Source organism: Homo sapiens, chromosome 2 (genome assembly GCF_000001405.40).
Source record: "Homo sapiens chromosome 2, GRCh38.p14 Primary Assembly".
NCBI lineage: Eukaryota > Metazoa > Chordata > Mammalia > Primates > Hominidae > Homo > Homo sapiens.
Window position 1 is genome coordinate 203,200,144 of NC_000002.12, and position 25,491 is coordinate 203,225,634.

Genomic DNA, 25,491 nt, shown 5'->3' on the forward strand with positions numbered 1-25,491 from the left:
GAGGCAGGCGGACCACCTGAGGTCAGAAGTTCAAGACCAGCCTGGCCAACATGGCAAAACCCCGTCTCTACTAAAAATACAAAAATTGGCCGGGTGTGGTGGCTCACACCTGTAATCCCAGCACTTTGGGAGGCAGAGGCAGGCGGATCACGAGGTCAGGAGATCGAGACCATCTTGGCTAACACAGTGAAACCCCATCTCTACTAAAAATACAAAAAAATTAGCCAGGCATGGTGGCAGGCGCCTGTAGTCCCAGCTACTAGGGAGGCTGAGGCAGGAGAATGGTGTGAACCTGGGAGGCAGAGCTTGCAGTGAGCCGAGATAACGCCACTGCACTCCAGCCTGGGCAACAGAGCAAGACTCCAACTCAAAAAAATAAAATAAAAATAAAAATACAAAAATTAGCCAGGCATGGTAGTGGGAACCTGTAATCCAAGCTACTCGGGGGGCTGAGGCAGGAGAATCGCTTGAACCCAGGAGACAGAGGTTGCAGTGAGCCGAGATTGCGCCACTGCACTTCAGCCTGGACGACAGAGCAAGACTCCACCTCAAAAAAACTAAAATTAAAATAAAATTCAAAAATCACACTCCATGTTGAGGATCAAATTACACCATATATTTGAAAACTATTTAAAATGATATAATTGTTATCACTGTATCTTTGTCTTCCTCAACTAGAATACAACTTCATGAGATTAAGGAAAATGTTTTTTTTCCTTTCTTATCCCACATAGTACTGTTATGTTTTGCAAGAAGCATATTCTCAGCAAATTAATATTGAACAATAAAGTTTTATAGCTAGAGTATGAGAATTAGCCCTCATTTTCTATATACACACTGAGTTGCAATCACTTGTCTTTCTGCAGAATCTGGATTGGCTAAGCTCACAGGTATTGCACTTGGAAGCTGATAAAACCAGCATGCTTGCTTTGGTTCAAATGGAGAACAGTCATCATAAGTGTTGTTAGATACACACTTATCTGCCTGATTTATCTCCTATGCATCACCTTGTGTAGGACATCCCTGGTTTAAGTTTATTTCTGATATTCCTGGTCCTGGCATATCCTGTCTTGTCTTTAAACTTTAAGGCTGTCATTTACAAAATTGCCAATTTTATTAAATTGTCTTTGAAATCCAAGATTTAAGCTTTCTTCACACCTTCACTGATTTCACCTTTTTTTGTTTACCACTTGAGATTGTTATGTATATTCTTAATTTATGAAAAATATTACAGTGAGATAACATGTTTTCTGAAAGTCTATCGTTTATTAATAGACATTTCAAATAGGACATTTGGGACTAATTTTTTATTTCTTTTTTAGAGAGGTTTAAAAAGAATAGTTCACATCAGTATACGTGATCTTGTAAGGAAAAGTCTGATATTTAATTGTGTTTACAGAACTCAGCGCAGTATAAATGGTTCTTTTGCTCCCGGGCTAGAGATCACTTCTAAGCTATTTGTAGTATCACATGATGCAAAGTTGCTCTTCAGTGCTGGATACTGGGATAATAGCATTCAAGTGATGTCACTTACAAAAGGCAAAATTATCTCACACATCATCCGGCATATGGGTAAGCATTAGCTTTTTTTCCAAAAATGCTCAAAAATTTTCTTTTTTTCTTAAGTATAAAAGTAGTACGTGCTCTTTGTAAAGAGCATTAAATTTTACCTTTGAAGCTGAGTGAACTTTTTTATTGTGTAGGATTATAAATATATACTTTCTATAGGAGTGTCTCATGTATTTTGGGTATAATAAAGCACCACATAAATTAAATACATCTTCATAGTATCTGGAAAATGTTAGGCTAAGTTGTTTTTTTTTAATGAATGATAAAAGTAAGAATTTTAAGACAAAATGGTAATAAAATCTGCTGTCATTAGATAAGACATCAACTGCTCTATTACTTTGTTAACAGTTAAACATGAGAGTGATGAAATTGTTGAATGTAGTTTTAACTTGCTACTTCTTAGTGTATTAGTCTTCAATATAAGAATAAAACATTGAGTAGGTTTTTTTCTAATAAACCTGTTAGGGAAGGAAAATGGAGTCTGCTGCTAATTCTGTACCAGTCAATCCTAAGATAACACTTACGTCTGCAGTTTAGGAAAAATATATTTGTATTGTGAATTTATAGTATAGTATGTGCAGTTTTTCTAAGGACATATATTCTATAGGATTACAATTCCCAATGGGAGTAGAAGGTGAATGGGGATGAGAAAGCAAAGTAGCATATGAAAATTAACTGGGGATCTATCTCAAACTATCTAACCTCCTCCCAAGATTGTGGTAGTCATTCCCCACACTGCATGTCGACTTCTCATGCTCAGAGAAGGGGGATTTCAAAGAAAGCTCTCCGAGGTGATTTTGACACTGCTGCTTTCCTGTGTCTCTCTTCCCCAATGCTTTTCCAGTACCATGTCTACATTCCTCCCTGTTGGCATAACTGATTTAGGAATAGTTTGAACATTAACAAAAATTGCTCTTAAAGTTCTATTTTAGCAAAACGAGGCATCTCATTTTATTTAATTCCTTTTCTTACAGATATTGTGACTTGCTTAGCTACAGATTACTGTGGAATACATTTGATTTCTGGTTCCAGAGATACTACATGTATGATATGGCAAATAACACAACAGGTAGTCACACATTTAAATGTTCTTGAATTAGGTCAGAGATTCACCCTGAGAATACTAGCAAAATGTTCTACTAGGACATCGAATTGTTTTCTGGCAGTGACTGAGCTCCTTTGTATTCTTTTTACCCACATTTTGTCCTGTTCAAATCACCACATTTTTTCCTAGGTTTACTGTCTGATTCATTACCTTATTCCCTATTGCTTTCCAAAGATTCTTCCTTCTTACCTTTCCTAGGAAAACGGGAATTATTTTATTGTCTTTTAGCATAGTAACATTTCTGCTTTCTTTCTTGTGGGACTACTAGAAATGATAGATTTATAGTTTTCATCAACCTGATTGCATTCTCATAATAATATTGGTCCAGGAAGTATCATTTTTATTGAATAGCTTCTGTTTTCTTTTCTTTTTTTTTTGAGATGGCATGATCTCGGCTCACTGCAACCTCCGCCTCCCGGGTTCAAGCGATTCTCCTGCCTCAGCCTCCCATGTAACTGGGATTACAGGCACGTGCCACCATGCCTGGCTATTTTTTTTTTATTGTATTTTTTGTATTTTTTGTATTTTTGTATTTTTAGCAGAAATGGGGTTTCGCCATGTTGGCCAGGCTGGTCTTGAACTCCTGACCTTCAGTGATCCACCTGCCTTGGCCTCCCAAAGTGCTGGGATTATAGGTATGAGCCACTGTGCCCGGTCAGCTTCTGTGTTTTCTGCATTGTCTTAACAGGCTTTCTCCCACTCCAAATTTATAAAAAGTATCTAGAAATTTTCTTCCATTTAAAAAACCCAGCTGAGCGTGGGACATGCTTGTGGTCCTGGTGGGAGGCTGAGGTGGAAGGATTGCTTGAGCCAGGGAAGCAGAGGCTGCAATGAGCTGAGATTCTGCCACTGCACTCCAGCCCGGGTGACTGAGCAAGATCCTATCTCAAAAAAAATTGTTTTCTTCTAATTTTTTTTGTTTTCTTATATTACAATCTTTAATTTCTTGGTAATTTATTTATCTACATTGGATAAGGCTTTGTTTACTTCTGAATAGGAAGCATTACACTTAAAGTGTAATGTTCTCAGATAGTCTTATATAGGTATTTATTCTTACATATGAACTTATGTTTTAGCCATACCCTCTTTTGTTTTTTGTGTTTTTTTTGTTATTTTTTGTTTTTTTGAGATGGAGTCTTGCTCTGTCCTGAGCCCAGCTAGAGTGCAGTGGCGCAAGCTTGGCTCACTGCAACCTCCACCTCCTGGGTTCAAGTGATTCTCCTGCCTCAGTCTCCTGAGTAGCTGGGACTACAAGCGCGTGCCACCATGCCCAACTAATTTTTGTATTTTTAGTAGAGACGGGGTTTCACCATCTTCTCCAGGACGGTCTCGAACTCTTGACCTCGTGATCTGCCTGCCTTGGCCTCCCAAAGTGCTGGGATTACAGGTGTGAGCCACCGCACCCGGCCCCATACCCTCTTTTTTTTAAAAAAAAAAAACAACTCCATTTTAGTCTTACTGAAATTGTATTTAATTTATATGTTAATTTGGTTTGGGGGTTTTTTGGTTTTTTTTTTTTTTTTTTGAGGCAGGGTCTCAGTCTGTCGTCCATGCTGGAGTGCAGTGGCAGTGGCACAATCATGGCTCACTGCAGCCTTGACCTCCCAGGCTCAAGCAATCCTTGCTTCTCAACCTCCCAAGTAGCTGGGACTCCAGGCATGCACCACCACGCCTGGCTAGTTTTTGTGTTTTTAGTAGAGAGAAAATGATTGTCTCTGCCATGTTACCCAGGCTGGTCTCGAACTCCTAGGCTCAAGCGTTCTGCCCACCTTGGCCTCCCAATAATTTGGCATATTTTTATAGTTATTTATTTACAGAAATAGGAAGTGTCTTTTCATGTTTGTTTCAGGTCCTTTTTATGTCCTTTGATAAAATTTCTTTCTTTTTCATTTAGATCTGATACCTTGTGATACTTACTTCAAATTATCATGTTTTTTATTACTATTTTTAGTGGGGTTTTAAAAATCATTTTTGTGTCTGATTATTGTTAATATAAAGAAAAGCTATATAGTGATTTGACTGATTTCTGTACAATTATATCGAATTACTTTGCCAAATCCTCTTATCAACTCTCATGGTTATTAGTATTTCTTGGATTTTCTGAAAATAAGGTAGATAATACAATCATGTGATCTGAAAATAAAAGTAATTTGCTTTATCTTTTCTAATATACTAATTATTTCATTTTCTTATATTATTAGCTAATACAATAAGGTAAGCAAAATTATAGTGAGCATCCCCGCCTTATATCTAATTTTGATGAAAATGTCTTCCCAATGTTACCATTTAGTATAGTGTTTGCTGTTAGGTTTCACTAGTTGTGTTTTTCACATTTAAGTATTTAGCTTACTTCTATTATTTTTTTCTTTTGGTAACTTTATAGTTTTAATGAAATTTCAAACTTGTAAAAAATTTGCAAAAATAGTATATTTTGTATCATGTGTCTTAGCAGTCTCTTTTAGTATCTCCCTCTTACAGCATCTTATTTTTTTTAACCATTTAAAAGTTTGAGATATCATGTTCCTTTACCCCTAAATAGGTCAGTGTGTATTTTCTGAGAACAAAGACAATCTTGTACATAAACCCAGTGAAGTTACCAAAATCAGAATGCTTAACATTTATACAATACCATTAGCTAATCCACAGTCCATGTTCTAATTTTGTATTTCCAATAATGTTCTTTACAGCTGTTTTTCCCAGTTTATCTTATTTGTAATTTTTCTCTTTTTCTTGATGTAATGTATTATGTTGAGAACTTTCCTAGGTTTGCACCATCCTTGAATTTTTATAATAAACCCACATAGTTTATGGTATATTGTTATTACACTTTACTGATGTATCTTATTAGCTAGTACTTTAATGATTTCTCTACTCTTAAGTAAGATAGATCTTTTTGTTCTGTCTTTATCATGTTTAGTATGGGGATATGCAATCTTTACCAAATAAATTTAGGAAGGGCTCCTCTTTCTCTTGACTTGGAATTGCTTCCATAATATAGGAATTACCTGAGTTTTAAAAGTTAAATATAGTGCACTACGCACTCAGACTGATACTCACAGGGAAAGACAAATTTGTCACAGGTAGCAGAGTGTCAAGGGGAATTAATGCACACCACATGGAACAGGTGGAAGGTGTGGGCAGAGTTGTCTAGGATAATCACAAATACAAATAGCAACTATTCAAATAAAACAAATAACATACAACTATGTGTATGCTAAAGACAAAGCACGCTAAAGACATGAAGAAAGAGTCTTCTGGAAGATGACTCAGAGAGCAATTTTTTGCAATACAATTGTGTTATTAGGAAAACATAAGAATGGCAGTTCAATAAAATGGAAGATCAAACATGAAATGATAAAATAGCATTATAAGAAGAAAACGAAGGTTGCAGAAGAATCAAGTTGAGATTAAAACCAGTACCATTACATACTCCATAAATATATATACCTACTGTGTACCACAAATGTTTTTTCAAAGGGCTGCAGCCAAGACATATTTAAAAATACCATTACAAACACAAATAAACCTGAAGCAGAAACTACAAGAAAGAAAGCATGTCTCTCCCTCTCCCTCTCCCTCTCTCCCTCTGTCCCTTTCCCTCTCCCTCTCTCCCTCTCCCCTCTTTCCACCGTCTTCCTCTGATGCCGAGCCAAAGCTGGACTGTACTGCTGCCATCTCAGCTCACTGCAACCTCCCTGCCTGATTCTCCTGCCTCAGCCTGCCGAGTGCCTGCAATTGCAGGCGCGCGCCGCCACGCCTGACTGGTTTTCGTATTTTTTGGGTGGAGAACACGGGGTTTCGCTGTGTTGGCCGGGCTGGTCTCCAGCTCCTGACCGCGAGTGATCCGCCAGCCTCGGCCTCCCGAGGTGCCGGGATTGCAGACGGAGTCTCCTTCACTCAGTGCTCAATGGTGCCCAGGCTGGAGTGCAGTGGCATGATCTCGGCTCGGTACAACATCCACCTCCCAGCAGCCTGCCTTGGCCTCCCAAAGTGCCGAGATTGCAGCCTCTGCCCGGCCGCCACCCCGTCTGGGAAGTGAGGAGGGTCTCTGCCTGGCCGCCCATCATCTAGGATGTGAGGAGCCCTTCTGCCTGGCTGCCCAGTCTGGAAAGTGAGGAGCGTCTCTGCCCGGCCGCCATCCCAACTAGGAAGTGAGGAGCGCCTCTTCCCGGCCGCCATCCCATCTAGGAAGTGAGGAGCGTCTCTGTCCGGCCGCCCATCATCTGAGATGTGGGGAGCGCCTCTGCCCTGTCGCCCCGTCCGGGATGTGAGGAGCGTCTCTGCCCGGCCGCCCCGTCTGAGAAGTGAGGAGACCCTCTGCCTGGCAACCGCCCTGTCTGAGAAGTGAGGAGCCCCTCCGCCCGGCAGCCGCCCCGTCTGAGAAGTGAGGAGCCCCTCCGCCTGGCAGCCACCCCATCTGGGAAGTGAAGAGCATCTCCGCCCGGCAGCCACCCCGTCCAGGAGGGAGGTGGGGGGGTCAGCCCCCCGCCCGGCCAGCCGCCCCCTCCGGGAGGTGAGGGGCGCCTCTGCCCGGCCGCCCCTACTGGGAAGTGAGGAGCCCCTCTGCCCGGCCACCACCCCGTCTGGGAGGTGTGCCCAACAGCTCATTGAGAACGGGCCATGATGACAATGGCGGTTTTGTGGAATAGAAAGGGGGGAAAGGTGGGGAAAAGATTGAGAAATCGGATGGTTGCCGTGTCTGTGTTAGAAAGAGGTAGACATGGGAGACTTTTCATTTTGTTCTGTACTAAGAAAAATTCTTCTGCCTTGGGATCCTGTTGATCTGTGACCTTACCCCCAACCCTGTGCTCTCTGAAACATGCGCTGTGTCCACTCAGGGTTAAATGGATTAAGGGCGGTGCAAGATGTGCTTTGTTAAACAGATGCTTGAAGGCAGCATGCTCGTTAAGAGTCATCACCACTCCCTAATCTCAAGTACCCAGGGACACAAACACTGCGGAAGGCCGCAGGGTCCTCTGCAAAGAAACTACAAGAAAGAGATTTGATGTGGCTGCAAATCAAATTAGTGGCCTGGAAAAAAAGATGTAATCAAAGTGAATGCCAATAAAAAGGTGACTTTAAAGCAGTTAGAGAAAGAATGATAACTAAAAATCAAAGACAGTCAGCATAAAGATAATTGATGTCCCTGAAGCAGCGATCCCAATAAATGGAAAAATTATTCAGCCGGACATGGTGGCCAATACCTATAATCCCAGCACTTTGGAAGGCTGAGGCGGAAGGATTACCTGAGTCCCAGAGTTCAAGACCAGCCTGGGCAACATGGCAAGACCCTCATCTCTACAAAAAAATGTTAAAAATTAGCCAGGCATGGTGGTACATGCCTGTGGTCCCAGCTACTCAGGGAGGCTAAGGTGGGAGGATTACGTGAGTCCAGGAGGTCGAGGCTACAGTGAGCCATGTTCATGCCACCGCACTCCAGCCTGGGCAACAGAATGAGAGACCCTGTCTCAAAAAAATAAGGTTATTCAGAAATATAACACAAAAAGTTTATTTGAAGTTAAGGAATAATAAATCTGTAGATTAAAAGGGGAAATAACATACTTGGAAAAATTAACCCAAGACTGTCAACATTGCAAAAATTTATGTTAAGGTTTTGAGCTTAGTTAAGTTTTTGAGATGGAGAATAATTCAGAAATCCAAGTAGAAATGTAAGAATGAGTACTATTATGAATAGACTCAGTGGTTGTAACTAGTTGCAATGTTAGTTTGTGATTAGAAGGTTTAAATGCAATATAAACCTTGTGAAAAACAGGAAACAAGAAACCACCTTTACCTTTGCTTTTCTCTTGTATTATTAGGGAGGTGTTCCTGTGGGCTTAGCATCTAAACCTTTTCAGATTCTTTATGGACACACCAACGAGGTACTGAGTGTCGGCATCAGCACTGAGCTAGACATGGCAGTGTCAGGATCAAGGGTAAGATTTCACCTTTAAGAAATACTATTTATTTTGTCTACAAATTTATTACCAACACTTATAACTAAAAAGTTTTTCAGAGGAATTGATAAGAGTATAGAAATGTTATACCATACTTGTATAGGACTTTGCAAAAGTAGAATAGACTTTGCAAAATAAAGAAATCACTGAATGCCATTTTGGGATTTTATTCGTTTTATTATTTAAGGGAAGAGGACATTCTAGGAAATAAAATACTATTTGAAATTTCGAAGTTGGAATTTTTCCTAAGGTGCATGTATCCTTGATGGAATAATCATTTTCTTGGTTCCTTTCCCACATTTCTTTATCTGGCCCACTCTACTTTTATTCTTTTTTGCTGTTCTTTTCCTTTGTCTTTTTCATTTTCTGATATATCCTGTGTGTAGGATGGAACGGTGATTATACATACCATTCAGAAAGGTCAGTACATGAGGACTTTACGACCACCTTGTGAGAGTTCTCTGTTCCTGACCATTCCTAATTTGGCTATATCTTGGGAAGGACATATTGTTGTCTACTCCAGCACTGAAGAAAAGACCACCCTCAAGGTATATGACCTTTCATGCAATAGAGGTAGACTCCCAATAGCATATCTTTCCCTCCCCACATTATAGATGAGGTTTATTGAAGAAGGAAAGAACACCATATTTTAAAGATGATGTTTTTCTTTCATCATTCAGTTGTTCGTTTCTTAACATTAGATGGCCTTCTACCACAATCGTAGCCTCACATTAGTATTTTATTATTGAGATTTCTATTGACTTGTGTAATATATGATTTCAAAATAATTTCTGCTTATGTAGGATTTTTTAAGCTTAAGTGGAAACTGGAAATGATAGCCAACTGAAATTCCTTTTGCATAAGGCAGGGTATAAATAAACAAGCCCTCAATTTTATGTTTGTTTCCTGTCAGTGACATCACTATTTATTTAATTAATATGTGTGTGTGTGTGTGTGTGTGTGTGTGTGTGTATTTTTTTCTGAGACAGTCTCACTCTGTTGTCCAAGCTGGAGTGCAGTGGCGCAATCAGTGATACAATTATAGCTCACTTTGGCCTCAAACTCCTGGGCTTATGTGATACTTCTGCCTCAGCCCCCTCAGTAGCTGGGACTACTGGCATGTGCCACCACACCTGGCTAGTTTTTTTTAATTTTTGTTAGAGACGAGGTCTCCCTACGTTGCCTAGGCTGGTCTCAAACCCCTGGGCTCAAGCGATCCTCCTGCTTTGGACTCCCAAAGCACTGGGATTACAGACATGAGCCACCATGCCCAGCCTAAGCTTTTTCAATATTAAGAGTTTTGGGGGGCCGCGAGTGGTGGCTCACTCCTGTAATCCCAGCACTTTGGGAGGCTGAGGTGGGTGGATCACCTGAGGTCAGGAGTTCCAGACCAGCCTGGCCAACATGGTGAAACCCCATCTCTACTAAAAATACAAAAATTAGCCGGGCATGGTGGTGCATGCCTGTAGTCCCAGCTACTAGGGAGGCTGAGACAGGAGAATTGCTTGAACCCAGGAGGCAGACGTTGCAGTGAGCCAAGATTATGCCACTGCACTCCAGCCTGGACAATAGAGCGAGACATGGCCTCAAAAAAAAAAAAAAAAAGTCTGGGCGCAGTGGCTCACGCCTGTAATGCCAGCACTTTGGGAGGCCGAGGTGGGCGGATCACAAGGTCAGGAGATCGAGACCATCCTAACTAACACAGTGAAACCCCGTCTCTACTAAAAATGCAAAAAAAGATTAGCTGGGCGTGGTGTTGGGCACCTGTAGTCCCAGCTACTTGGGAGGCTGAGGCAGGAGAATGGTGTGAACCTGGGAGGCAGAGCTTTCAGTGAGCCAAGATTGTGCCACTGCACTCCAGCCTGGGTGACAGAACGAGGCTCCATCTCAAAAGAAAAAGAATTTTTTTCTTTTGTTTTAAGAATGTAGAGTTTTGGGGAGGGCTGAATGAGATTTTAATTCTTCTTTGGAGAGAGTGAGATTTCTCGTTTAATATTTACTTGGCAATCTGATTTGAAATCACTTTAATAATATTGTCTACACACTTGGTCTTTAAATATAGCCATATTTTTATCCTAAAATGTTAAGCCAAATAATTATTCTGTTATAGTCAGAGTTTTAACTGGTTATATAAAAACTCAGTTTTTATTTGAAATTGTTGAATTTTCCTTAATTCTTTTCAGGATAAGAATGCATTACATCTGTTTTCTATAAATGGCAAGTATCTAGGGTCTCAAATCCTGAAGGAACAAGTATCAGATATATGTATAATCGGAGAACACATTGTCACAGGCAGCATACAAGGATTCCTGTCTATAAGAGATCTCCACAGGTAAATAATAAAAACTAATGAAGTATCACTTAAGAAAAGGGGCAGTACTTCTAGTCTAGAGTGAAAATCAGGAATCTAAGATTTTTAATCTTTTGGTTTATCATTGATTATAAAAGTTTCTCTTTTAGCAAGTATAAAAAATTGGAGGAGCTAAAGTATTCCTAGATTCATAAAGGAAATATATATATACATTTTTTAATATGTAGAAAATTTTACATTATATATATTTTACCGCAATTAAAAAATTTTTTAGGCTGGACATAGTCACTCCTGCCTGTAATCCCAGCACTTTGGGAGGTCAAAGAGGGAGGAATGCTTGAGCCCAGGAGTTTAAGACCAACCTGGGCACATAGCAAGACCTCATCTCTACTAAAAATAAAAACTTTAAAAATTAGCTGAGCATGGTAGCATGTTCCTGTGTTCCCAGCTACTTGGGAGGCTGAGGTGGGAGGATTGCTTGAGCCCAGGTCAAGGCTACAGTAAGCTATGATCATACAACTGCACTGTAGCCTGGACAACACAGCAAGACCCTGTCTCAAAAGAAATGTTTTAAATATGTAGAGCTAGAAAAAAATGTTCATAGTACCAAGTCTGTATTATGGATTTGGAAATTTGTCCAAATGATGGTTTGAATTTTTATAAAGTTTTTCTTAACTGTGGTAAAATAAAGTAGAGTATATTTAACATATTTAAGCATGTGTGTGTATAAAATTGTTATGGGGATCTGTTGTCATTTAATCTAGTGAAGGAGAGAGATACTGGAGTAGTGGATACGTGTTTTTGTTTTGTTTTCTTTTTTGAGACCTAGTCTTGCTCTGTCACCCAGGCTGGAGTGCAGTGGCATGATATTGGCTCACTGCAGCCTCTGCCTCCAGGTTCAAGCGATTCTCCTGCCTCACCCTCCACGTCAGCTGGGAATATAGGTGCGTGCCATCGTGCCCAGCTAATTTTTGTATTTTTAGTAGAGATGAGGTTCCACCATGTTGGCCAGGCTGGTCTCAAATTTCTGACCTCAAGTGATCCACCCACCTCAGCCTTCCCAAAGTGCTGGGATTACAGGCATGAGCCACTGCACCTGGCCCGAGATTTCTGGGCTTCTTACCCACCACTCACTTATGAATCAACAAGGCAAAAAGCATGTAATGAGAGGGCCTAGGTGCTCAATACTGTGATGCTTACTCATAATAATGGTTTTTAAGGGGTTTAAGACTAGTTGGAAGCTGGGTGTGGTGGCTCACACCTGTAATCCCAGCACTTTGGGAGGCTGAGGTAGCTGGATCATTTGAGGTCAGGAGTTCAAGACCAGCCTGGCCAACATAGTGAAACCCCATCTCTACTAAAAGTACAAAAATTAGCCGGGTGTGGTGGCGGGCACCTGTAGTCCCCAGATACTCAGGAGCCTGAGGCAGGAGAATCACTTGAACTCAGGAGGCAGAGGTTGCAGTGACTGAGATCGCACCACTGCACTCCAGCCTGGGTGACAGAGCGAGACTCCATCTCAAAAAAAAAAAAAAAAAGACTAGTTGGGGAAATATCAATATTTGTGTACTGTTGTGAACAGTTTAAGAGCTAAATTATATGATTCCAGTTACATGTGCAAGATGAGTTTTAAAGACATTAAGGATTAGCACGGATCTGAGTAGTCAGAGGAGTCTTGATGAAGGATTAGTAGGAATTAAATGGACATGACAAGACAGGGAGGGCCTTCTTTTGGAGATGGAGGTAGGCAATATGTGAGGAAATAAAGCACAAAGACGTAGGAACAGCAATGAACATGGTGTGTACTGTGCTGCATTTCAGGGATAAGATCAGAGCAAGACTAGAACAAATGCCCACTGAGAGTCTGAGGCTCAGAGAACGGTGACTAGTATAGGAACTTTATTTCTATCTGTTTTAGGAAGAACACTAAGGATAAAAATCTAGTTAGTATCCATATAGAATCCTGTCTAACTGTTGTGTTCCTTACTTTGTCTCTCACCTTCCCTCTAATCTCTCTAAAGGGAACGTAAAGACTATTTACCTTAGATAAATGATGAATGTAATAATAAGATGTAAAAACTGAAGTAATAATAGAATGGGTTGGAAAATTGAAAAAAGAGTAAGATTCTCTAGGAAGTCAAAATTCTTATATTTTAGCTTCATGGTTGCTTTATTAATATTTTGTTTGATTATATATGGTTAGAAGAAAAATAGATGTCAAAAATAGAGAAAAAAATCTATCAAGTATCTTAACTAATGCTGTAAATACAGGCCCTTGTGTGAGTCACTTAGACTTTCTGGACACAAGTTCCCACATCTGTAAAATTAGAATGCAGAACTAGATGAGCATTAATTTATTTTCCAGATATAAAATTCTGTGAATTCATTATAAATCCGTGTAATTATGTCTGTATTTTTTATTTCTTTTCTAGCTTGAATCTCAGCATCAACCCATTAGCCATGCGACTGCCTATCCATTGTGTTTGTGTCACCAAAGAATACAGCCATATTCTTGTAGGTTTAGAAGATGGCAAATTGATTGTAGTGGGTGTTGGCAAGCCTGCTGAGGTAAAACCTAGCATCAGTAATTTCATTTCTCATGCTGTTGGGGATTACTTTGGTTCTCCTTCATTCCAACTGATTGAGAAGTCACCATTAGGGATAAACAAATTAAAAGCCAAATTTGATTTTTCAAAAGGCAGTAAATAAAAACAGGATAAAGCTGTTATTCAAGAATCATGTTTATGTTATTATTGAAAGCCCACCTTTGGCAATTCTATCTACCACTCTATAGGAATAAGACAGTTCATTTCTTCCAAATCTAGATTCAAGACCACAACTTAGATTTTCAATACATAAGAGCCTTTGCAAAAGAATAAAATATAGGCTCAAACAATAAAACTACTTTAGTTTTAACAAATACTCATCATAACTATTTGTCAGTTGTTCTTTTGTAAAAGCATCATTTTTTATTTGTAACTACAAATATCCCCATTTAGTGTGCTTATTCTCAGTGAGTTTCCTATAGTTAAATTTACTTGCTAATGATTTATCAATTATTGAATATTCAGATATCATAAATCTAACTCTCACTCTTAGGAAAACTTTGTAGTTATACTCCAGTAACTTACTGATTCTTCCAAATAATTTGTGTTATTACATAGTTAAATTAAGCATTATAAATTTTTTTAAGTCACTGTTGGTATTTTCTGAGAAATCTAACAATATGGGATCTGTCGGGGTTATTTCAAGGGAAGAAATTACCGTCACACAGTCAGTGGCTATAATAACCTGTTAAAGATCGTAAAAACCTGTTTTATAAATATTTGAAACTTCTTTAGTCCTTATGCTTTTTTTCAGCATATTATTTTACCAAAAAAAAAGTGTCATTAAATTAATGTTATTATGGCTGGGCATGGTGGCTCACGCCTGTAATCCCTGCACTTTGGGGGACCGAGACGAGCGGATCACTTGAGGTCAGGAGTTCGAGACCAGCCTGGCCAACGTGGTGAAACCCCATCTCTACTAAAAATACAAAAATTAGCCGGGTGTGGTGGCATATGCCAGTAATCCCAGCTACTCGGGAGGCTGAGGCAAAAGAATCACTTGAACCTGGGAATTGGAGGTTGCAGTGAGCGGATATCGTGCTGCTGCACTCCAGCCTGGGTGACAGAGCAAGACTCTGTACTACAGTTTAGAATATGAACTAGATCCATATTTAGTTACAAAAAGATATTTCTATTTCAAGATCTATTTTTATCTAAAACATCAAAATCTTGATTAATATGTATTTTTTAATCATGTACCAGTTTATATATTATTCTATTAGAGTGAAAATCATATGTAAAAATCAGATGGTAAGGTAGTAGTGCTTCAGAAAATACATCTGCAAATGTATTTGGCAAAAGAAGCATGCCAAAGCCTCTAGTACTTTGTATGAGGCTTATCTTTTATCACTCCAATAAATATACCCTGGAAAAGCAACCATTAGGCCTGGTGCGGTGGCTCACACCTGTAATCCCAGCACTTTGGAAGGCCAAGGCGGGCGGATCATGAGGTCAAGACATCCAGGCCATCTCAGCCAACATGGTGAAACCCCGTCTCTACTAAAAATACAAAAATTAGCCGGGTGTGGGCCAGGTGCAGTGCTCACACCTGTAGTCCCAGCACTTTGGGAGGCCGAGGTGGGCGGATCACGAGGTCAAGAGATCAAGACCATCCTGGCCAACATGGTGAAACCTCGTCTCTACTAAAAATACAAAAAAAAATTAGCTGGGCCTGGTGGCACGTGCCTGTAGTCCCAGCTACTCTGGAGGTGGAGGCTGAGGCAGGAGAATTGCTTGAACCAGGAAGGTGGAGGTTGCAGTGAGCCGAGATTGTGCCACTGCACTCCAGTCTGGTGACAGACCAAGACTCCATCTCAGAAAACAACAACAACAACAAGAACAACAAATTAGCTGGGTGTGGTGGCGCATGCCTGTAGTCCCAGCTACTTGGGAGGCTGAGGCAGGAGAATCGCTTGAACCCAGGAGGCGCAGGTTGCAGTGAACCAAGATCGTGCCACTGCACTTCCAGCCTGGCAACAGAGCGAGACTCCATCTCAAAAAAAAAAAAAAGAAAAGTGACCATTAAAAAAGGTGGCAAGCTGGGCATGGTGACTCACTCCTGTAATCTCAGCCCTTTGGGAGGCTGAGGTGGGTGGAGTACTTGAGGCCAGGAGTTTGAGACCAGCCTGGGCAACATGTCGAAACCCTGTCTCTACTAAAAATACAAAAATTAGCTAAGCATGATGGTATGTTCCTGTAGTCTCAGCTACTTAGGAGGCTACGGTGGGAGGATTGCCTGAGCCCAGGAGGCAGAGGTTGCAGTGAGCTGAGGTTGCACCACTGCACTACAGTGTGGGCAACAGAGTGAAACCCTGTCTAAAAAAAAAAAAAAAAAAACGGTGGAATCACCATTAAAAAGTAGGTTGCACTTGAGAAAGTAATTGCAACAAACCATAGGGGATTTTTGCCCCATCTGGATGTATAAACACTTTTAAAAGACATTTATTCATTCACTGATTTAATTACTATTTGGTTAATATTTATTATACACTGGGAAGGATGGTAGGTGATGCAAATTTAATGGTGAACAAAATGCAATTCCTGCCTTCAAGGGGCTTATGCTCTCCTTGTTTTCTACATTACTTTTTATCATTCTGTTGTTAAATATTATTTTTGAAAGCCTTAAAATATTTTAAAATTACTTTCTTTTCATCAAAACTTTATTTTACTTTCTTCTTATCCTTATGATTGGCATTAACAGTACTGCAAATTCTAGAAAAGAAAATCTCCAAACCTGTATGTCTTGTTAGCAAAATTAAGAATAATTTTGAGCCAGGTGTGTTGGCTCACACCTGTAATCCCAGCACTTTGGGAGGCTGAGGTGGGAGGATTGCTTGAGCCCAGGACTTCACCAGCCTGGGCAATATAGTGAGATCTCATCTCTACAAACAAATAAAAAATTAATTAAAAATTTTAAAAAAGAATAGTTTTGAGAAGCTTATTTTGATGAAATAATACATATTTTTGATAATTTATAAAATAAAGGAATCTGGTAACTTTGACATAACGAGGCCATTAATTGTTTAAATGTACACACTGACATTAGAGCTTTCTCAAAGACAAAATAAGTGTAAAAGTCTTTCATTATTATTATTGTTATTATTATGTGTGTATATGTGTGTGTATGAGAGAGAGAGAGTTTCACTATGATGCCCAGGCTGGAGGACAGTGGCACGATCTTGGCTTACTGCAACCTCTGCCTCTCAGGTTCAAGCAATTCTCATGCCTCAGCCTCCCAAGTGGCTGGGATTACAGGCGTGCGCCACCATGTTGGGCTAATTTTTGTATCTTCAGTAGAGACGGAAGTTTGCCATTTTGGCCAGGCTGGTCTCAAACTCCTGGCCTCAAGTGATCTACCTGCCTCGGCCTACCAAAGTGCTGGGATTACAGGCATGAGTCACCACACCTGGCCGTCTTTCTCTATTATTGATAACCTTTAAAGTGTTAATAATTCTGCTAACAATTTGTTTCTTTTCACTCTGCAAAATCAGTGTCTTACATATCTTTTTTTTAATTTTTTCTTAATATTTATTCTTCATTTCTTTGGATTACTTTACACAGATGCGTTCAGGTCAGCTTTCTCGAAAATTTTGGGGATCGAGCAAGCGGCTCAGCCAGATTTCAGCTGGAGAAACTGAATATAATACTCAAGATTCCAAGTGATTGTTATTTCCATTTTCTGTTATGATTACTGAAACCTGATTTATTGCTTTGTCACTTTAACCACATCTCTCAACTCTCTGCAATGTTGCAAGGCTTTTATCCCTGAAAATCATTTACAGATAACCACAATTTGCTGTGGTATATAAACTAATTCTTGGTCTATACTAAGATGTATTTGAGAAAATACATTTGATTTGATTTTGTGGCCCATTCCTAAAGGTCATTGTATCCATTTTTAAAACAAACTAAAATGAGAACATTAGGTTCAATTTTCTTATTATTCCAAATGATAAAATTTAAGATTTTTCTAATAAAAGAGTACAGATAATGGGACAGTTGAGAGAGATGGCTTTAAATACATTCTTAAGTAATCATTTTCCTATTTACTGACCACTGTAATGAAAATATATCAATTTATTTATGGAACTCCTGATTGGGGATAATATTTTAAAGGTATCTGTTGCACACTTGGATTTTCAAAACTCGGTGAAAGTTACAAGTTTGCATGGTAAGAATAAAATAAGAATATTGAAACTGGTACATTAGCTAATTCTATTACTACTTAGCGTGTTTCTAATGAGAAGTTACTGAAATCTATTACTGTCCTTAATAAAAATTGAGTAGAAAAAAGTGGAACTAGAGATACATTTTACAGATGTATTTCCTTAATAATATAATTAAGCAAAAGTGCTAATTGTGATTTTGACAGTTGGGCCTTTTAAGTAGCATTTGCAGCACAATTTGCATTTGCAAAGTTCCGAATTTCTTGACTCTTTCTTCACTAAGCAAATACTGTTTTACTCTAATAATTAAGAGTTAGTAGTACCCAAATATGTTGAATTTTTACTTAGGATATCTGTGTGATTGATGAATGAATTGAAAAGATATGTATAACTTAAAATAATCATTTATATATAGTAATTTAAAAATTTCTATTTCATGTTTTAGGATTATAGCTAATTTTATTATATAGTGTTAAATGTTGTGGTTGATTATTAAGATCTTAAAGTAAAAGTCTGATTTATTTAATTTGGAATTCAAAGACATTGTTAAACTTAGATTTTTTTGTAAGATTATCTTTTGAGTTAGGTCAGAGAGCTTTTACAACTACCAGTGTTATTAATCTGAGATTTCATGTGTTTGGGAGAACTTGTGAATCCCTCTGAAATTGTGCAGAGACTTTGTATGTTAAATGCATTTTCAGGAAGGAATGGTTACATGGCTTTCTTTAAAGGGATCTGTTTCCAGTAATAGTATTCTTTTTTGTTCCACAAATCATAGATGTCCTTAAATCCAATTGTCTTCTCAGTTGAATCTTAGAGAAATTTTTCTTTTGCAATTTCGCTTTCCTGTTGACCACAGTATCCAGTGCCCTTTTCTTTATAATCTTTTGAGTGAGTAAAAAAATTTTAAGAAATAAAGGATTCTGTTTAGGGAAACTTTTGAATAGATTTGATTTGATGTGAGTCAGGGCTAATAAAAAGCTATAGAAGAATTTTCTTTCCAATAAGTAAAAATCCTCTGTTTTATTAAGGAAAAAATAGCTATGTTTTAGGTAAATAACTCTGAAATAAACTGGTACAACAATTGTAAAATAGAACATATTTAAATGTCAAGGTGTCTTTTCTTAAGACTTCAGGAATTTGTATTGAACAAAGTCTCAAGTTAAGTAGCAATAATTATGATGCATAAATGAGACTGGCATCTATTCATTTATTTTATTCTTTTTTGGGGTGATGGGAGGTTTCAATCCAGTGCTTCACCCGTGGTGCCACCGTGGCTATCTTTTTTTTTATCTTACAGTTTTTTAGGAGATTTCAAGTCGGCAGAACTAACATGATTGATTTTTAGTTTTTAAAATACTGATTTTTTTAGAAACTTTTTCTAAATCAAAACCTACTAAGTTTTATTTTGTTATTTATCCAGAGATTTTGATGTAAAAATGCCTTCATTTTTAAGATTACTTAATACTGGATTTGAAAATTATTTTGGATGCTTATAAGTTTTCTAAAACTTAGATAATTAGAAAAAATGCCTAAGTTTATGATGTTTTACTATGCTGCTTTTTAGATGGAAGAAATAAGCAGTTTTTACTTTATAGTACAAATAAGTTTTGTTCACAATAAAATAGATATCCTACCTGGACTAATACTAGATGTACAAGGTAGTGGAATTATTTCTTATATTGCTTTTTCCAAAAAGTAAAAACCAAAAATGTGGGCCGGGTGTGGTGGCTCATGCCTGTAATCCCAGCACTTTGGGAGGCTGAGGCAGGCGAATCACAAGGTCAGGAGTTCAAGACCAGCCTGGCCAACACAGTGAAACCCTTTCTCTACTAAAAATACAAAAATTAGCCGGGCATGGTGGCACATGCCTATAGTCCCAGCTACTTGAGAGGCTGAGCAGCGCAGGAGAATCACTTAAACCCGGGAGGTGGAGGTTGCAGTGACCTGAGATCACGCTACTGCACTCCAGCTTGGGCAACAGAGTGAGACTTTGTCTCAAAGAAAAGAAAAAAAATATGGAATTTAGAGAAAAATCTTTGAGAATACTAGCAACAGTCTAGAGAATGGAACTTAAATTTTATCTGTTAAAAGAAGCAAACAACTATTAGTGAATAATATATTACTCATTTAAAGAGTATAGCCTACTGAATTAAAAATCACTAGATAAAATAATTGGAAAGAAGTACTTTTGAGAATTCTGGTATATTTAGATGTTACCCATAGAAATTAGTTATATATTATATAATGGGAGAAATGAACAGTATCATTGGAATGAAATAACAGGTGGACATTTCAATTGGTGAATATAGTATCTCAAGTTGGCTCTTACAAAGTCTGTTACCTGGCCAATTGTGGTGGCTCACGCCTATAATCCCAGCTCTTTGGGAGGCCGAGGTGGGCGGATCACAAGGTCAGGAGTTCAAGACCAGCCTGGCCAACATGGTGAAACCCTGTCTCTACTAAAAATACAAAAATTTGCTGGGCATGGTGGCAGGTGCCTGTAGTCCCAGCTACTCAGGAGGCTGAGGCAGGAGAATCGCTTGAACCCAGGAGGCAGAGGTTGCAGTGAGCCAAAATCGCACCACTGCACTCCAGCCTGGGCAACAGGGCAAGACTCCATCTCAAAAAAAAAAAAAGTCTGTTATCTTTGCAAAACTTTTTGTATGCTTTTGTTTCTTGATACTGGTGATGACAAAAATAAAAATCTCAGCATCCTGGTGATAGGAAGAGATTTATACCAAGATAATTATTTTACTTTTGGAAAATGAGATCAAGTATTAAAACATGTAATAGCTGTGCACGCTTAGAGAATAAAGAACCTTTATAAAATTTTTTTACAACTGTTTGCAATCAGTATTCTGGCATTACTCAGATAAAATTGTAAGAGAGAAAGAAAAATAGATCAGGGCATAAAAATCAGGAAAGTATATAAAAATGAAGTTTGGCAAGTTGGTTTAGTCTTTCTTTTTAGCCTGTGAAGCTCACGTCTGTTATTAAGTTAATAACAAAATTAAAATCTGTTAACTTTGTTTAGGTCACAGTGCAGTGCATCCTTTTGTAGAAGAAAAAATACCAAGTGTTCATTCTGTCATTAGCAAGGAACACCAATGAGGTTTCTTTTTTTTCTCTATTTAGGGCATATTAAAATTATCCTTCAGAGTACTTGTATTGAAAATCAAGTTTATGCTTCTGAAAAGAATAAGTGGGCTCTCAGAATTAGAATTCAGATTTGACGGTTGAATCTTAAGACATTTTATATTTTGTGTGAAAAGGAGTGGTCAGGGGAAACTGTTAACTTGGATACCAGATTTTTATTTAATGATGATAGAGATATGACCTTTGCCTTTATGTATATTTTATATTGTTACTACTAAAGAGACCACTGAGGAAATCTTGTAATTGAACTTAAGGAAGTTAGCTCCTTTTATATATTTATAAAATGAGTAGCATTATCTTTACCACCTTTCCACTGAAAAGATGCAAGTCCTAGGACTATATTAAATATAAATATTATATTATTAAATAATATATGTAATATGGGTGTCTGTTGGGGTTATGTGTGTGTAAAGATTGGTCTTTTCAAATATGTATATTTAAACCTGTCTTCTGGAAACAGGTTCTTGAACCTATCTTTAGGATACAGTTTTTGACTGGGATATAAGAAATGAAACATGTTTGTTTGTTTCCTTTTTGTTTGTTTGTTTGCATCATCAGCCATACTCATGGCTTATCCTACGCATTGTTCCTCTCATCAGCTGAAACTGTTTCTCCCCAATAAGTGAGCAATCTTAAACATTTTCATCACTCTTTAACAAAATCCATTCTCAATATTCTTTTTGCTGAATTCGTATATTGTATATGCTCAACATATTATTTGTTTTAAACTTGACTCCATCCAGAGCATTGTTCTATAGAGTTTTCCTGTATTTATCAGAGTCATGTGGTATTTTTCTTGATGACCTTAGGCAACAATATAGTGTTATCAGTCATCATTTTAATATGATTTAAAATGTGGACCACAGCCTGCCTTCTTTAGTTTAAATCTAGGCCAAGCATGGTGGCTCATGCCTATAATCTCAGCACTTTAGGAGGCTGAGGCAGGAGGATCACTGGAGCCTAGGAGCTCAAGACCAGCCTGGGCAGCATAGTGGGCTCCACCTCTACAAGACATTAAAAAATTAGCCTTGTGTGCTGGCAAGCGCCTGTAGTCCTAGCTGCTCGGGAGGCTGAGGCAAGGGGTTTGCTTGAGCCTAGAGATCAAGGCTGCAGTAAGCTGTGATTGCACCACTGCACTTCAGCCTAGGTGGCAGAGTTAGACCCTGTCTCCAAAAATACATTTTTTTAAATTTAAATCTGGCAGTTTCTAGGCCAGTGGTTCTTAATGGATATTACAGATCAGACTTCTCTGTGGAGTTTATAAATATACAGATATGTAGGCACTGCTTTGGACTTCATGAATCTCTTTGCTTGATATTCTTGGTATTAAAAAATTATGTCTGAGGATTATTATGTTATATCCTAAAAATTTTTCTGCATAGAAATTTGTCCATTTATCTTTATATACCAGATCCAATATTCAGACTTATTTGAAAATAGGCTTAATCATTATCCTGAGGGACATTTTGTCTAAAATTTGCTTGGAATGGCTTTATTATCTTTGTTTTGCCTGCCACAAAAACAACAAAATCTCCTTTCAATTGAGTTATTTTTATCATGAACTCTCTTTAGACTGTTCACATTTGAAAATTATAACTAATATTTGCCTCCAGAAAAGTACATCTGTTTGCTAATATTAGTTCCTGGTGACTTTCAGTGAACGTTTTGCAAACTTGAATTAGGCAACATTTTAAAGAAGAAAAAAACATGACTAACATGCTAAATTTAAAACATAAAAGTAGATCTCTTAGAGCCTTGAAGCTTGTAATCAATAGAATTTTCCTAATTAAAAAGCATTGGGTAAATTATCTACTACTTCCAATGACTTTTGCAGGTACAGCCTCTGTATGGAAATAATCTTTAATTTTTTATAGGTATAACAGAGAAGAACGCATTAACATTTAAGATGTTTAATTCCAAATAGGAAATAATTCAGTTTTCTGTGTTAAGAAATGTAAGGCCATCCTAGAGTATAGGAGTTACGTGATTTTCTTCTGTATAAAAATCTCATTTAATAGTGGCTGTATTATCAGATACTTATTTGATTATAGTAATTCATCAGACACATCTCCTTCGTTTGGTGATTATCTCATTGATCTTTGTCACACGTGAGTGATTTCTAAACACATTGCAGGATTTGGACCTGTAAAGCCAGTGGCTTTAGTGATAAGTAAAAGGGCACATTCAACAATATTTACCTTTGTCTTAATGCCCATAATCTTATGAACTGAAAATTCAGAAGGAAAAGAACAAATAGAAAGCTACTAATTCAATATTTGTTTTTCATGGTACGGTTTTCATGTTTCCTTGGAAACATATTTTGCAAATATAACAATAATAGTAATAACACAATTTTGTCATTTAAAAAATTACCCATTCATTTTTCAAACTTGACTGTTAGTGGAGGGGTATATGTGTGTCTGTGTTTCCACTTATGTAATGGCTGTCTCATTATTTAAATTAATTTATAATTATTTTTCAGTGTACAGAGTGATTAGCGGCTTGTAATGCTGTTACAATGTAGCATTGTAATGTAAGATGAAGAAAAATTAGGATTTAGGTGGGATTTTTAAAAATTTATCAATTCAGCTACTTTTTAAAAGAAGTCCTATTCCAATTGGACCTTTAAAATTTTTATTTTGGTAATATTTCAACTTAAGATGTATTAAAACTAGCAATTCTGTGGTAATCAGTGTACTAGTCAACATTAAAATGCTATTTTGGGTTGTCTTCTTTTGGTAACATATTCTGACACTAAGCAACATGTTTTACAATTTAGTGGGATGAACCTACAAATTCATAAATGCTTCTCTTTATTTTGAAGGAAAAAGATACTTGTCTGTATACGACATAATTGTTTTACTCTTCAGAATGTGAAAGTTATATTAATCACTAAACACTTTAAGAAGTGGTTCTGGTAGGATATCAGTAGTCAGACTTAATTGAAAAACTGTCAGCGTCTGTTTTGTATATAGGGATTAAAGAGGATAACTTTATTTTTTCCTTTGGAAAGAATAATTCTTTTGGAATTTTGGAATTTTGATTTTCTTAGATGACTTTTTAGCAATTTAATGATAATAATTTCTATTTTTCTTCCAAAACTATGGCATGTTATAGTAGATCTTACTATTAAAGATCTTTTATATTTTAAACTGTTTTTTTCCTATTCTGCTTTTTGCTGCTCTCAAAGACTGTGATTGATGAACATCACCAAACTTTTTTTGTGGCAAACTGCTTATTTTATAAGTAGCTTTATATAAGAAAACTTCTTAGAAAACTATGTGGCTGGTTGGTTCCATTTAGAAACTCTTAACAGGTATGGCTTTCATTCCTCCAGTTGTTTGCTTTTATAGACTTGGAGCAAAAAATATAGCAAAAAGTAATCATATCTGGCTAGATAGCCATTTCTCTCAGATTCATTGCTATAAAAATGAATCTACTGAGGCATAAAAATATGAAACATATTTAATTCATCTCTTTTGTCAGTTTTTCTGGGACTCCAATAGCATTTCAGTGTTATAGAGAGTGACAGTGACTTGAATGCATGTATATGCACATAGTCAATTCAGAGCGTAATAACTAAAAATTCAGAATGACTTGTTTTTTGAAAGTACTTGGAAATTGTGCTGCTACTTAAATATTGAAGGAATTCAGAAAGTTGTGTATTTATCTTAAAATGTTCCTTCTCACTTATTCTACTGGAATTGACCATGAAAAAGAAAATATTATGCCTTATTTATATCTAATTATTGACTGTGCAAACTGTGACTCAGTGGATATTTGTATGCCCCCCAAAAACATTTTAAAGCTGAGCAATTTTTAATAAAGATGTATAAATAATTTTGATTATTCTCATTGTAGTTAAGTTACTGTTAGTTTGGTGCAATACATTCTTTCCTTCCTCATCCTTTTAAAATTAAATATATAAGATGTATGTTTTGTTTTATTACATTAAGTGCTATTTTTAAAAAATTCATTGTGTGTATATGAGCTAATACTTGATTTGTTTCTGTATAGCATGATTAAAGATAATTGAAAATTTTGCACTTATTTTAGGCCCTTGGAAATTTGTATTCTAATACTTTTTAAGAATGTCCATTTATTTTGTACATAATAAATTAGCTTTGTATATGAAAATGGGTTTGAATCAAATAAAAAAAGTGATGTTACTTTCTTCAGTTGATTTGTAATTCTCAGTTCATAGAGTCTGATTAGAACTTATCCTTGGCTAAGTTATTTGGGTAGACAAGAGATTGAATACAGTATTTGTTAATTAGAAAATTGATCAATGTTTCTTTCTCATATGAGCAGAATTTCTTCTGTAGTCCTGTGTGCACAAGATACATGTCAATTGACTATTTTTTGTCATATGTAACAACAGATATTCTGCCTTTCACTTTAGAGCTACCTCAAAAACATTGTTACAGGCTAGGCACAGTGGCTCATGCCTGTAATCATAGCACTTTGGGAGACCAAGGCTGGAGAATAGCTTGAGCCCAGGAGTTCAAGACCAGTCTGGGCAATATAAAGAGACCCTGTCTCTAAAAAAATTTAAAAATTAGCCAGGCATTGTGGCATGCACCTGTAGTTCTAGCTTGAGCCCAGCAGGTGGAGGCTA

At 37.5% G+C, this 25,491-nt stretch overlaps 1 protein-coding gene across 11 annotated transcripts in view; it reads left to right on the forward strand.

Annotated features, from left to right (window-relative positions):
* The window catches only part of NBEAL1 (neurobeachin like 1), a 210,587-nt gene extending 185,536 nt beyond the window's left edge, over positions 1–25,051 (forward strand). For 5 of the 11 annotated variants that reach the window (XM_011511658.4, XM_006712698.5, XM_011511659.3 and 2 more), the window contains 6 exons: positions 1,400–1,572; positions 2,544–2,638; positions 8,494–8,610; positions 9,018–9,179; positions 10,815–10,963; positions 13,375–13,862. In XM_011511658.4, coding sequence (XP_011509960.1) covers positions 1,400–1,572; positions 2,544–2,638; positions 8,494–8,610; positions 9,018–9,179; positions 10,815–10,963; positions 13,375–13,651 — 973 coding nt within the window. In that variant the 3' untranslated portion in view covers positions 13,652–13,862. Of the gene's footprint in view, positions 1–1,399; positions 1,573–2,543; positions 2,639–8,493; positions 8,611–9,017; positions 9,180–10,814; positions 10,964–13,374; positions 13,863–17,109 lie in introns of those variants that run through there. The other 6 variants (XM_047445554.1, XM_005246787.5, XM_005246788.3 and 3 more) reach the window with 2 other exon arrangements.
* The last annotated feature ends 440 nt before the right edge of the window (positions 25,052–25,491 follow it).